General features: G+C 38.9%; 1 protein-coding gene across 3 annotated transcripts in view, besides 1 other annotated feature; it reads right to left on the bottom strand.

The window, feature by feature from the left end:
* PHF6 (PHD finger protein 6) overlaps positions 1-15,279 on the bottom strand; it is a 55,479-nt gene extending 40,200 nt beyond the window's left edge. For all 3 annotated transcript variants that reach the window (NM_032458.3, NM_001015877.2, NM_032335.3), the window contains exons 1-3: positions 15,124-15,279; positions 10,836-11,019; positions 10,485-10,586 (exon numbers count right to left, since the gene is read on the bottom strand). In NM_032458.3, the coding sequence (NP_115834.1) occupies positions 10,485-10,586; positions 10,836-10,973 (240 nt within the window). In that variant the 5' untranslated portion in view covers positions 10,974-11,019; positions 15,124-15,279. The remainder of the gene's footprint in view (positions 1-10,484; positions 10,587-10,835; positions 11,020-15,123) is intronic.
* Positions 6,886-7,086: a silencer, noted in NCBI's record as "fragment chrX:133515535-133515735 (GRCh37/hg19 assembly coordinates)". NCBI's record gives its function as "represses an EF-1alpha promoter that drives an FKBP-Casp9 reporter gene in an ReSE screen in K562 erythroleukemia cells {active_cell/tissue: K562}" and the evidence as "EXISTENCE:reporter gene assay evidence [ECO:0000049][PMID:32094911]".

Raw genomic sequence — 15,629 nt, 5'->3', positions numbered from 1 at the left:
CCTATATCTAATATGTCTGTCAGTAACTGACTATCAGTGTATAGATACACATTCTCACAGCCAAGCAGTTAACTGTTCTAAAGAAACCTGCTCCCAGAAAACTGCTACAAATGCACAGACAAGGCAAAGAAGGGTACAAAAAGAGGTCACGTTCTTGAGCCTGTAGGCAAAGAAAAAAAAATGCCAAAAGCTCTTGGAGTAGGGAACGCTGTACTGAGGATATTTGCACAGGAGATACGAGCCAAAAACAAAGTGAAAGCAGCTTACTTTACGCAGGTGCTTGGCTTTTTGTTTTAATAACAGGTAATACTACCTCCAATAAAAACTAGAAAGTGACAGTACAGTTAGGGGCAAGTTTTCAGAGATGCCCCAAAAATGCTCCTTAACTCCAGCTTCATTGCTTTATTTATAGTAATACCTCACATATCCAAATAACTAGACAACAGAGTGGCTCTGAATTATCTGGTTAACTGCTGTTTTAGTTTTTATTTGTTAAATTTATGTGTTAAAAATTCCTTAAAAAGTGCCACTTCATGGGAGGGTGGAATACGAACTCATAACTGTTTCTGTTTGATCCTTTAGTTACTATTTTTTAAAAATACAGCATTTTGAAGGAGGTCTCATAAGAACACAAACTAAACACTACTTTTAAGGTTTAAATGGAAAGCCAGAAAACAGTGAAATCTGAAAGCTGTCAGTCACTGAAAAGTGACAAGTTGCTTGAAAAACAGATTAGGACCTTAAATTCCAGGTGCTTCTAAAAAATAGGGCCACTGAAAAGTACTCATTAAATTTTTACTAGATTTAACAGACTAAATCTAAGTAGTTACTGAATAGATTATTTCAGATGTCTTGGAAATTGGAGGGAAATGAACTAAGCCTTAACCTCATCTCCTGACCTTGCTCAGAATATCACATACTCCAACTCTATCTGACTTTCTGCATCATGATTGATGAGGAATATAAATTATCTTATTGGAGTTTCTGAAGTTTCTTTTTGTGTATCTGAAAGATTCAGACAGACATTTTCTGAGCTCAGATTTTTATGTCCAAGCTTTTCTCGTGTATGGGTTTTTCCAGCTGAGGGTACTCTAAACTGCTATGCCGCTTGCTATATTTAGTCTGTGAAGAACACCTCATCCACACCTATGCTCAAATAAGTACCAAGACAGCCCCCAACACCAAGAATACATTTTGTTTATATTATTGGTTTTGGATCTCCTCCATTAGCAAAAATAAATGAGGATTTTATAATGAAATTAATTGACAGTATTCCCAGTTACCAAAAAGTATTAAATGGAGGCAAATAAAAAAATTATGCATTAAAAAAATGTATTCAGTAATAGCCAAAGACCCAATTTCCTCCATCATTACACTTCCAAGTTTCTCTTTGACCTTACATTCATTCTCCTTTATCACCTCAAAAGTAAAGTTCATTTTAATATAAATGACTGGTAAAATATCTGCATACATTAAAATTAATCTGCATGCCATAACTGGAGCTTTTAAAAAAAATCACATTTATATGAATACATTCACAATGCATGTACGCTTAGCTACACAGATGACAATGAGGCCACTGAATAAATCTTCAGGAAGAAAAGTTACCTCTTTTCCTCCCTACAGAAGGCATCCTGTGGGCCTAATCCACGGGATTTACAAACTTTGTTTTATTTACAAAAAAACTTTTTGTAAATAAAAAGTTTAATTAAAACACAGCCATGCTCATTTCTTTGTGTATTGTCTGTGATTTCAACTGAGACCACATAGCTTACAAAACCTTAAATATTGTCTGGTCCTTTACAGAAAGTTTGCCAACCCCTGACACAAGGCAATGGTCCATAACCAGGGTTGTTCATCAAAAATCACCTGGGAGGCCAGGCACGGTGGCTCACGCCTGTAATCCCAGCACTTTGGGAGGCCGAGGCGGGTGGATCACAAGGTCAGGAGATCGAGACCATCCTGGCCAACATGGTGAAACTCCCAACCCCGTCTGTACTAAAAATACAAAAATTAGCTGGGCGTGGTGGCGTGTGCCTGTAATCCCAGCTACTCGGGAGGCTGAGGCAGGAGAATCGCTTGAACCAGGGAGACGGAGGTTGCAGTGAGCCAAGATCACACAACTGCACTCCAGCCTGGCGACAGAGTGAGACTCAGTCTAAAAAAAAAAAAAAAATCATCTGGGAACCTTTTTCAAAAGATTGTGCCTGCAACCCAACCCTCACCCCTGCCCCTTTTCTGATTTAGTAGAGTTGGTTAGGTACCTCTGCTCTAACGATTTAGTAGCACCAATAGTCATCCAGAATCTTCAGCTTCTGTGATTGCAGAAAGCAAAGTGGCAGCATTCTATACAATGTGGGTATTCCATTTTGCCCCTACTGAACGCTAAGTAAGTCACACAATCTACTATAAATAGCACTGGCATTTAATACTTATTTAATATTTTTTGACCACTTCTTCCTCCTTGAAATTGTTTGTCTTTGACTTCCATAGCATCACTCTCCTGGTGGAACACATTTCAACTCTCGTTTTCTATGGAGCCTTCTGACTTCTCATAATTAATTGTGATCCTCTTTCCCAGCTCTCCTGTGCCATTCTTTAAATACTTCTAAGGTTAAACCATATTTATTCATGTTTACATTCAAAGTACCTAGCATTGTGCTGGTAGAAAGTGGGCACTAAAGTATTTGATAAACAGTTGAATTCTAAACTCTATACTATATGGGGCCTTGACAAATATAATACCTAAGGAAACAACAAACACAAAACCATACTGAGGGAGTGAAGGCTGAAGAAACATGAAAACTCTCATGTTTGAGGCATACACAGCTCTCTACTCTCTGGAAAAAAAATAACCAACGTCATTTTTCCCTCTAAATTACTCTCCTCCCTTTTCAAACTGCTCAAGTTGTAAACAACACTAAAATACTAATTAACCAAAAGAGAGGAATTTTGTGCTACGCCATGACTTCCCTGTTCAATTTATACCTAGCCTGTTATTAAGGCTTCACACTATTATCCAGCTGAAGCCCTTTCCATCTTCAAAGTCCACCAACAATGAGCACCCACTTATTTATTAGAACACTATTGAGTACAAAGAAGACATCAAGCACCATATTAAGAGTTTTCTATGCATTATCCCCACATCATGCTAGGCTGGGCAAAGAGAATACAGTCTTACTCTCCCAGAGTCAACAATACAGTGGAGAAAAAAGGCTTGCACATGTGTATCAAATACAACGCATATTGTGTTATGCTATATGACAGAAATGAAGTGTGAAGTTTGAGCTGGATCTCAAAAACAGACAGAACTTTTGAGAGGCAGCTAGGAGGAAAAAAGAGCCGCAAGCAGAGGTGAACATCAGTACAGGCACCGCAGCGGGGACAGAGACAGGATGCTTGGAAAACCTAGAGGAGAGAGAATGAGATAAGGATGGAAAAAGTGGGTTAAGACAAGACTTCTGAATGGCAGGCTGAGGCCTCTGGACATTATATTGTATGCAGTAAGAAATCATGAAAGGTTTCCAGTTAGGGAGTGGCATTAGCTTTTAAAAGCAGAGATCAAGTAACTACCAGTAGTATGTTGGAAGGGTGGGAGGAGCAAGACTGGACATAGGGTAGCATTAAGAAAGAAAAGGCAGGCTGGGCGCAGTGGCTCACGCCTGTAATCCCAGCACTTTGGGAGGCCAAGGCGGGCGGATCATGAGGTCAGGAGATCAAGACCATCCTGGCTAACACGGTGAAACCGCGTCTCTACTAAAAATACAAAAAATTAGCCAGGAGCGGTGGTGGGCGCCTGTAGTCCCAGCTACTCGGGAGGCTGAGGCAGGAGAATGGTGTGAACCCAGGAGGCAGAGCTTGAAGTGAGCCGAGATCGTGCCACTGTACTCCAGCCTGGGCGACAGAGCAAGACTCCGTCTCAAAAAAAAAAGAAAAAGAAAGAAAGAAAGAAAGAAGAAAAGGCAGAGATATCCCACAAATAGAATTGACGTGACTGATATGGAAGAAGGAAGAGTTGATGGTAAAGGATTCAGAAGAAGAATCAGGTTTCAGGGAGTGGGCGTGGTGGGCGGGGTGGTAATGAATACTGGTTTAAGACAGGTTGAGTTTAAGATGCCTGCAGGACATCTATGTAGAGTAGACAAATATGCTGCCATTATTATACTTCATTCTCCACAGTGACTATTGTATATCACCTGTCTCCTGAAAAATCCTGCTTTTACCCTTCCCCATCCCTTCCTATCTGAGTTGAAATTCTTCTCTAATGTTGGAAGACCCTGCAATCATCCCACCTTACTCAACTGGAATGGGTCTCAAAGACCTATTCTGGTATGGCTAACCTATTAATATTTCCTAGACTCATTCCATTTTTTTAACCTTACCAGCTCTAGGAAGCAGTCTGAACTATCTCAATAGGTAAGACTCCTCCCAGACAGAAGACACCCTGTTTCTTTAAAATGCTAAGTACTCCAGTGGTACTGAGTAAATAACAAAGTGAAGACTATGTGGAAATGGTCTTTTTATTTTCAGAGGCTAAAAAGTATCTGGAGGGTAATAATCACAATATTCTTACATAGGATGTGTATAGGGTTTTTGTCCTAAAAATTAACAAGATATTACTATTTAACAGAACATATTAATAGGAGTCTGATTATGTCCTAAATTCAGTACTATTTCCATCTTTATTAGAAAACTGCTAAGCTGTAATCCTTATGTTTCTTTAAAAGTGATTTTGGAGTGGGTAGCTTAAAAGATAGTCTAGCGTAACCTGGTGATTAGGAGTTCTGGCTTGGGAGTCAACTGACCCTGGATTCAAATCCCAGCTCTGCCACTTACTAGCTACAGTCAGGTTACTTAACTCATCTGAGCCTCAATTTCCTCACATGTAAGATGAGAATACTTCTCTATCTCACAACATGATTATCAGCATTAAAAAGGATCATATAATTAAAAAACTTAGCATAGTCCCTAGCACATGTTAAGTGTCTAACAAATGTTAGCTATTTCTATTTCTACTACTAGAAAAAGCAGGAAAACTGTTCAGAGGATTTCATAAGACATGAGTAAAATTTAGTGTGAAAAAAGGGAACGTTTAGGAGTGACCTGAGGACAGTCATCAAGTATATGAAGGGTTTTTTAATAATAAAAAAAAACTCAAATATTTATTTAATGGAAGGAGACAGATCTAAAATGGCTTTAAATTAAGAGAAATACTTAATTTATACAGAAGGATGAATTTCTCAACTCTGAAGAGTGTTATATATTACTGGTCTTGTTTCAGGTTACTTGGGTAGAATTACAATTTCTTGATATATTTAAAAACAGGGCAAAAAAAAATTTTTTTTTTTGAGACAGGACCTCACTTTATCACCCAGGCTAGATGGATACAGTGGCACAATCATAGCTCACCACAGCCTCGAACTCCTGAGCTTACACAATCCTCCCACCTCAGCCTCTTGAGTAGCTAGGTCTACAGGAACATGCCACATTTCAAAATTTTTAAATTTTTTTGTAGAGATAGGGGTCTCACTTTGTTGTCCAGGCTGGTCTTCAACTCCTGGCCTCAAGCAATCCTCCCAGTCGGCCTCCCAAAGCACTAGGATTACACGTGTCAGCCAATCCTTAGGCCAAAAATCTTATCTTGAGTGGCTTGTAGGAAATCTTGCATAGGGGTAAGACAGGTGAACTAAATGGCCTTCTGAACTCTTTCTCTTCTTGTAATCTGTGATATAATCTGACACCGGTACCAATTAGAATAATAGCTATCTGCAGAGGCAGGCGGATCACCTGAGGTCAGGAGTTTGAGACCTGCCTGGCCAACGTGGTAAACCCTGTCTCTACTAAAAATACAAAAAATTAGCTGGGCGTGGTGGTGGGCGCCTATAATTGCAGCCAATGGGGAGGCTGAGGCAGGGGAATTGCTTGAACCTGGGAGGCGGAGTTGCAGTGAGCCGAGATCATGTCACTGCAATCCAGCCTAGGCAACAAGAGGGAAACTCCATCTTAAAAAAAAAAAAAAAAAAAGAAGAATAGCTATCCAATGTAGATAGTAGATACCCTTAGTAATCTCACCAGCTAGCTTCATCCAGAAACGGTAAATTCTTCAAATATCCTTCTTTCAAGTATCTCCTTAAATTCAAAAAAGCAGTGCTAACTCATAATTTTACTTGGAAATTTGCATTTCTTGGCTAGATGACTGGAGTTAAGTAAGAATAGATGGTACAGATGTGGTATCTCCATATGGCTTCAGTAGAAACTGGAAATCATACTGGAAAAATATATATCTGTCTAAACTGCAAAAACAGGGCATCAAATCATAAAAGCCTTAGTACTCTGGCAAATTTTTCCTGGTCCATCTTGGTGCTATATAATTAAAGACCGTGTAAAGGAGATGAAAATGTTCATGCAGAATGGCTTTCCTCCTTTGATCCTTGTGGCTGACATGAACCTTGGAAAATTGCCTGTGGCAGCAAGAACATAAAAACCAAACACTCACACCTCCTGCTCTACTGAGCCCTCTCATCCTCAACTCTGACCCACCTGGCTGTTGATACGTACACTTTAACCTCAAGCCCTAGCCTCCTTATCTCTCTGTTCTTTTCTTTGGGGCAAGCGAGCAACTTTGGAGTCAACACCAGGTACAGATTGAAATTTGTCTTGAAAGCACTCAGGGTTCAGTACTCCAGTTTTCGATGATTTTGAATGAGTGTTCATGACCTACTTTTCACCTAGAAATCCAGATGAACAGGAGCCAAAGCAAACAGGCTCACGGGATAAAATGCCTTAAAAAGTCAATTAGGGGCCAGGCATGGTGGTGCACGCCTGTAATCCCAGCACTTTGGGAGGCCGAGGCTGGTAGATCACCTGAGGTCAGGAGTTCGCGACCAGCCTAACATGGTGAAACCCCGTCTCTACTAAATACAAAAAAATTAGCTGGGCATGGTGGCACATGCCTGTAATCTGACCTACTTGGGAGGCTGAGACAGGAAAATCGCTTGTACCTAGGAGGCGGAGGTTGCAGTGAGCCGAGATCGCGCCATTGCACTCCAGCCTGGGCAACAAGAGCGAAACTCCATCTCAAAAAAAAAAAAAAAATGTCAATTAGGGAAGCTGATTACCTAGTTTATATGCAGTTTATCTAGTTACATTAAGCTCTTCACTCTTTTTCCCCCCTCCTATTTGATTCATAGCCCTTTTATTGCTTAGACAAATTGACACAGGGAATAGTAGAGAATCAAACTTAAATCTAGAATTTTGGTTACCTGATAGCACATCATGTAAAAATGATATAATGAAAGAAGCAAAACTGAAGGCTAAAAGGAGTTTCAAAAATTATTTCAAACCTAAACGTATGTTACATTCCTATCCCCTATATAAGTTGTTTAAACTGACATTCTAAGGGAAGGAAACGGAGCAAAAGTTCTTCCCTTCTGCCACTATTCCTCAGTGCTCACACCTGGAATCCCCGCACTTTGGGAGGCCGAGGCGGACAGACGGTCTCAAGTGAGGAATTCAAGACCAGCCTGGCCAATGTGGCAAAACCCTGTCTCTACTAAAAATAAAAAAAAAATTAAAAATTAGCCAGGCATGGTGGCACACACCTGTAGTCCCAGCTACTCGGGAGGCTGAGGCAGGAGAATTGCTTGAACCCAGTGGAGGCTGCAGTGAGCCGAGATCGCACCACTGCACTCCAGCCTGGGCAACAGAGCAAGACTCCATCTCAAAAACAAAAACAAACAAAAACAATAAGTGGTGGCTACTATTTATCAAGTCCTAACCATGTGCCCAGCACCACCTTAAATCCTATATACTTCCTCTTTTAATTCTGGCAATAATTCTGGGAGGCAAGTACTGTCATTATCTAACCCCTTTTGCAGGTGAGGAAAACATGGCCTGGAGAAGTAAATAACTTAATCAGGATCACCTAGCTAGTAAATGACAGAGCTGGGATTCAAACTCAAGTCTGTCACTAAAGCTTGTGTTCTCAATTCCCAGTATTGTTCCATTCCCTAGATCAAGGAACAAATTTCGTTATTTGTAACACACTACATTTGGGGAAAAAATTATCTCCCTACACTATAACACTAAAAATTAATCAAAACAATTTATAATAGTAAAACTCATACAAAGTTCTGATGCTTTAACGAATAGGTCCAAGGCCGGGCGCGGTGGCTCACACCTGTAATCCCAGAACTTTGGGAGGCCGAGGCAGGTAGGTCACGAGGTCAGGAGATTGAGACCAAGGTGAAACCCCGTCTCTACTAAAAATACAAAAAATTAGCCAGGCACAGTGATGGGCGCCTGTAGTCCCAGCTACTTGGGAGGCTGAGGCAGGAGAATGGTGTGAACCTGGGAGGTGGAGCTTGCAGTGAGCCGAGATCACGCCACTGCACTCCAGCCTGGGCGACAGAGCGAGACTCTGTCAAAAAAAAAAAAAAAAAGGTCCAAATAAATTAAATCTCCACTGAACTTCGCAATATTGACAGATGTATGCTGTTGCTTCATGTAGTGTAACACTAGGCATTGCATTTGTTAATAATGTTTCAACATTAGGGACCAAAACTGCTTTTGTTCTGACTATACAAGCTGTGTCAAGTGACAAAATGCTAACAAGTCAGGATACAGAAATATTTTCCAGGGATAGTCATAATGTCAAGCAATAAATAAAGGGGTAATAAGGTTTACAGCACAATCACTTTCAAGTAAGTATCATTCTTTTTTATATCTGCATTTATTTTAAGGACTAGGAAATAAAAACATAGTGCTATGGTTCTCAGAAATCAGCACAGTAACGTGAAGAAACCTAAAACCACCAAATAAAATCCACATTTGAAAAACAGGGCTTTCTAGGCTGGGCGTGGTGGCTCACACCTGTAATCCCAGCACTTTGGGAGGCCAAACTGGGCAAATCACCTGAGGTCTGGAGTTCAAGACCAGCCTGACCAACATGGTGAAACACCGTGTCTACTAAAAATACAAAATTCGCCAGACATGGTGGCGCATGCCTGTAATCCCAGCTACTTGGGAGGCTGAGGCAGGAGAATCACTTGAACCCAGTAGAGAGAGGTTACCGTGAGCTGAGACTGCGCCACTGCACTCCAGCCTGGGCAACGAGAGTGAAACTCTGTCTCAAAAAAAAAAAAAAAAAAAAAAAAAAAGAAAAGAAAAGAAAAGAAAAAGGAAAAAAAAACCCCAGAGCTTTCTATTAATATCTACAGTTTTGGGGATGGGGAAGATAAACATTTTCACAGTTAAGGTCTCACTACAACAGAAATGGTTTGACCTCTGAATTCTCATTTGTACTAATACTGATACTAGGATTTGAGACTATCCTAAAGCAAATCCCAAATGTCATTTTTGAGCCCATATTTCTTCATATTGCTTTTTATGTAAAACGATTAATAGAAGACTACTTTTCAAAACATATTATTCCTGATCATCAAAATGATAGCCCCCCTCTTCCTATTACCATTTCATCCAAAAACTACCATCTCAGAGTCTTTGTGAAATAAGAGGTTATTTAGTAACTACAAACGCAGTTATATGTTTGGCAAAACGCATCTTTTAAAAAATGAAACTGGATAGCAAAGCTATTAAAGGTGCATTTATGGATGTAATTTTAATAAAGTGTTCAAATGAGAAAAATAAAAATAAATCTTCCCATTAATTGTTTCAAAGTAGCCGGGCACAGTGGCTCACGCCTGTAATCCCAGCTCTCAGGGAGGCAGAGGCGGGAAGACAGCTTGAGCCCAGGAGTTCGAGACCTACCTGGGCAATATAACGAGATCCCGTTCTCCACAAAAAGGAAGGAAACAAAAAAGACAAAAAATAATCGTTTCAAAGTAAACCATAATGTGTCATAAGTACCAACTGAGATGACATTACTATTCCAACAGAGCAATGTAATATCTTACTAATATGGTTATTGGTAGTGAAGACAACTACGGGAACATTACTCTAACGCAGCTTCAGAAAAGCTCCTGTGAAATTCACTGAAAGTTATCCAAAGTCATAAATGTTGTGTTATACAGCTGAACTACAGTAAAATACTTTGTTCAGCAAGTGCTAATATTTTCCTTTTGAGAGGCTACTGTCATGTTCATTTGTAATGACCATAACTTTATGATGGAGATGAAAACATATCAGAATTATGAAAAATAAACTTGAATGAAGACTTTAACACAATATATACTCAAATTAACCAAACTGTTTGTTTTCTAAGTAAACAGCCTCCAAAAAGATTTTAATTCTCTTTGAAAAGCAAAAAAAATTGAATAGTATAAATATTGACTCATTCCTTTTTGTTGAGTGGTAAATAAGATAAACCCGGCCTTGGATTTTGCTGGCTCAGAGAAAAAAAAAAAGAAAAGCCTGCAATTTAAAATTATACTCAGTTAATAATGCAATACACTCTAAAATAAGCAATTTCCTCTTTAATGAGTTTAAATAATTTTTATTCTCAAGAGGCAGAAATACCAACTTACCAGCTTCGTGCCTCTTTTAATTTCCTTTTGGACATCTTCAATAGAAAATCCACCAAGACTTTCATTATCAGAGTGTGATGATACCAAAGCAGATGAAAAGAGCTATAAATTACATTTAAAAAAAATTAAGGTTCATATATAAATTAATCACAGTAAAACAGTAAATAAGATGTCAAATTTAAATGGTAATTTTCTAGTAAAAATGGCATAGCATTAGTGATAAACCATTTCTTAAAATTTAACTGAGTTTTTTTTGGTTTTTGTTTTTTTTTTTAGTATTCAGGAACATTCATGTGTTATTAAGAGTCTCATGAATCGTTTCAAGGTCTCTGTTGCTGCCGGTATACTTACCATGCACTTATGGTGCGCTGCCACCTTCTGGTTTTCAGATATTAGTAACTGTCCACATTCCTTGTCTCTATTTGACTTACAAAAGCCACATTTGCGCTGTCTTGTAGGCCCTTTTTTCTGTTCAACTGAGCTTGACATGATTTTTAAATTGCCTTTAGAATGCCACTTTAAGTCTCAAGAAATGCTACAGAGAATAAGAAGGGCGACAATGTTAATTTTATTTTAAAATCAGTTTATACATATTCATGAAAGTTGTTAAAAATTTGACCTAGGTTTTAATATACACATTTTTAAATGTTTATTTAGTATAGACAAATTAAGCCACTCTAAGCCCCAAGAAATGCTACAGAGAATAAGAAGGGTAACAAAGTTCATTTTGTTTTAAAATCAGTTTATACATACTCATGTAAGTTGTTTGTTTGACATAGGTTTTAATATATACATTTTTAAATGGTTATTTAGTATACATAAATTAACATTAAAACCTAAGATGCCTCCGTAATAAATACAGATAGATAGATAACAGACAGCTAAATGAAGTTTAGAGTAATTGAGAAAAATCAAACTGCTTCCAAATTGGAGGATATGTGAAATAACTGACACTAGTTCTGTGTGGAGAGAAATGTACAATGTATAATATTAAATTATCCCCTGCTGGCATAATTAATGTAAAATATTTTCATGTGTAACTAGGTGCCCTTTCAAGGCGATAAAGAATTATACCTCTTAAGAACACGGTAAAAGCTACTAAGGAAACTTCAGAATACTCCGTGGGAACAGAATTCTGTAATTGAACAATTTCTTAAAGTTCACATATTGATAAAACAATAAAAGTAAAACGAATTTACCTAACTATGACTTTGGTGCACTTTAAAAATTATTTCTGAGTTTAAAAAAATCAGGAATATGTCTTTAATAAATTAATTTTTGCTATTCTATTCCATTTTCAAGTAAATAAAAAGTTAGGCTTCTGACAGTCTATTTAAAAATGCAGACTTTAAGACCCAATTATTTATAAAACAACCATATTATATGACTAAGATTTACTCCAAGCCTGCTTATCAATTAAAGTCACAAACTGATAGTGGTCTTCTAAATGTAGTAACTTCCGTACTTAAATTAGTAATATTGTGTAAAGGAAGAAATTTTTTTCTGAATGAGCCTTAAATTTGGTCACATTTTAATTATAGGTAGTACAGTGTAGTCAAAAAAAGGGAAGGAAAGCTCTAACATGAAAGGTTTCAGATTTAGATCATCAATCTTAATATGGATTCTTCAGAAGAAATTTAAAACCAGTTACTTGATTTGTACAGTTTTCCCAAATCAACAGGACTAAGCAGTTCAAGATCCAGGTTGCCACAACACACGTCACAATCAAGAAAAATCTCAAACTTTTGTCTTAAAATTAATTTACTAAATTGTTTCAATTTGTCTATACATTTGAACAGTTTCATAATACTATGTTGAAAAAAAATTGTCTAACACTACATTGCAGCTGAGAAGCATTCGTTCACCAACAAGAACAGTAGCAGCTGTATGCTAGGAAGGTAATATCTACAAACTATTCAGTGCTTTTCAATATAAAATTCAGATACTTAATCAAAATTTCACCTGAAGCCACAAAGAAAACATGTCTTCTCATCCATTTATGTCTAGAATTTTCTTTTTAACACAACTTCAAAGGCCCTGACAGTCTCTGCTTTGATAGGTTTAACAAACTCTTAATGCTATCTATAATTTTAAATATCTCAGTCGTCCAAATGACAACGGATACTTTACCATAGTACTGTATTCATAGCACTGGCTATAAACCGTGAAACTGATTGAAAACAGGCAGCAAATACTTTTAGGATTAAAGAAAAAAAAAGGACATAACAGAGAAACAAAAGAAACAAAAGGGAAGTGTGTTTGCATTTGCTCAGGCAAGTATCTGTGTTCGGTTGCTTTATCAAGAGTATACCTGCCCAAATTTTTAGAATTAACTATGCAAAATACCAAAATTCATAAATAGCATCAGAATTTGCTATTATATTTTGAGTTCTAAATTAGTTTCTTTACTACTATGCAATGAATAGTACGCACTCTGAAATCACCATAATAATGTATTCAGCATTACTCCCGGTCATCCTGGCCAGTTGAAAGGATGGCACAGTATAAATCAAATCCCGTACAGACATCTTTAATGTGTAATTTCCATACAATCCTAGCACTGGCTATAAAGCTGGCTTAAGATAAAGAAAATTTCTAGAATGGAAAAAATCACTTCGTATTCTTAAAATTAATTCCGAAATGGCATCCCCAAAATTCTGTCTATATTTAATTCTGCCTCTTCCAATTTATAAACAGGCTAATTTCTCATCCTAATTTTGAGAACCTGCTTTTCTAGATATCAAAGACCCCAAAAATCTAAAAGAGAAAAAAGGTACACTTTATTTTGCATTAAAAAATATTCTAGTGTATTTTTTCTGTAATCAGCTTAAATTTAATTTGTAAAGTAAGAAGAGCCACAAAAAAAGTGCACCAAACCAATTAAAAACTTTCCCCAATGTGCAATGACTAAATGGATTTTTCCACTAAAATTCAAATAATACATCTGCGCATATCTTGGTAATTTTTTTAGTCTCCTTGTAAAACATGAAGTGGAGAACATCATGGAAACAATGACTCCTAGCAAAAATGTCTTTATCATAAAAGTACAGATTTTTATCTAATGTTGTCACATTTGTGGTCTCTACTTAAGCAGAATAAGGGCATTCCAAGGACCAATACTAAGGGGTTCATAATGATCCACAGCTATATGGCATTTTAATTTTAGTCTAAAAGGTTTTTCAGGCCATGCGGAGATCAAAGTTTGATGCTTTCACGCAACAATGAAGGCTTTTCTTTAAAAGAAACATCGCATTATGGAAAATACTACAAAGCAGAAATAAAGAGGCAACAATAACAGCGTGAAATACATAATTTAAATGCCTGGAAAAAAAATAAAAGCTAGATTAGTTAAGCTGAAGCAATCAATGCATTTCTGATTTTCCAAGATGCTGCGAAGCACCAAGGTAGAAATAACCTGAAACATCAGAGAGAGCATTCAAGAACCAACTCCAGAGCTCATCAATGCCTGGTATCTGAAAAAGCATTTTCACAGAAAAACAAACAAAACAACAAAAACTGCAGTTCCGGAAGATTAAAACATTCCACGCGAAAGCAAGCTGAAATATACAAATCAAAACAGATAACAAACGTGATTCCCCAAAGAAGCAGTATTTCTAACAGGAAAGTTACAGTGGACAGAAATAAACGAATAAGATGTACCGGAAGGGCACCTGAATTTGGTTGCACGATATTATTACATGCTTCGCACTGCTTTTTGCGGTTATTCAAAAGGAAACTAAAGGAATTTTCCAGTTGTTTCAAACCCAAGGGTAGAGAAAGAATTTGAACAGTATAAATAAGACCTGACATTAGGTAGTAAGGCGATGAAAATAAAAGATTTTCTAAAAACAAAAGATTTTTTAACTTCCACGCAGAATATCAAAACGAATGGAAATTGGAAAAGAATACCGTGGTGTTCATCCATATAATGAAAGACGGTACACATAAAGTACCGGATCCTCTCCGTTATTTATTCCCCCAATACACACTAGACTCCCAAGATCTCCCTCTAATCAAGCGCTAAAGTCACAAAACTATCTTCCCCTAAAACACTTCAGCAGGTTCCTTTCCGTCGTAAAGTCAGGGTCCCCTAATCGTCCTTTTCCAATCCTCCCGAATCTAGGAAAATATCATCCTACCACTTTCTTTATGCCCCCTCCCCCAAGAGTTAGCCCTCTCACAGTCTTCGTTGTAAGCTTCCCCTTATACCTCAGTTTCACCCCTAATTCCCCCCACCCCGGAGTTTTTCCTCATTCCGTAAGGCTCTCTCTCTTGCCATCCTAACAATTCTTCCTCTTACTCTTCCCAAACTGGGAGTCTCCCTCTTTCCCAAATATGTTCTAAGCAATGGCAAAAACTAAAAATTCCCAGTTTTTTCCCTCCTCAAATGTTGCGCCCCCTCCCCCGAAGTCTAGGCGTAAGCCTAACCTCTCCTTCTGCACCTCCAAAGCACTTTCTCAGCAGCCTCTCCGCCAAGCGCCTACAATGAGCGGCGCTTCTGGGGTCCCTGACAATAAAGCGAGACCACCAAGAGTCCCCTTTAACAACGGGCAGGGGCGGCGGCCTGGCCACCGCCATCCTCCTTGTCTTCTCCCGCCGGGGAGAGAATGGGGGGCCCCAGGGTTCCGTGGGGACTCACCGGCAGGGCCCAGAGGCGGACTGCAGGAGAGAAGCGCCAATGAGGGTAAAGAGAAAGAAGTCGGTCTCGGTTCTCCAGCAGTGCCTGAGAGCGGGGCTCTGTCGCCGGAGGTTGTTTCCTTTCATTCGAGGAGAGACGGGCTCGCGGAGCGCCCTTACGTCGCCCCCCTCGCACGCACACGACCCACAGAGCGTTGATACGTCCCGAGCGCGCCGCGGGCCCTGATTGGCCGCAGAGAGGGGGCAGCTGAAGCCGCACAGCCACAGCGCATGTGCAGAAACCACCCCCTGTACGACTGAAGGCGGCAGGCCCCGCCTCCTGTTCGCGCGCGGACCTTCTATTCTCCGCTCCGCCGCTCCGCCGAGTGTTTGGGGGCAGGATCAGAGGAGATAGAGAAAGAGATTCAAAGATATCGCTGTGGGCTGGGCGGAGAAGGGGCAGGATTGGGACGGAAACCGTTGGACAGGGGCCCTGGGTAACCAGTTCACAACAGTGATTCACGTAGA

Source organism: Homo sapiens, chromosome X (genome assembly GCF_000001405.40).
Source record: "Homo sapiens chromosome X, GRCh38.p14 Primary Assembly".
NCBI classification, from domain to species: Eukaryota; Metazoa; Chordata; class Mammalia; order Primates; family Hominidae; genus Homo; species Homo sapiens.
Note: the sequence above shows the minus strand (reverse complement) of the source record. Positions and strands in the feature narration are given on the sequence as shown.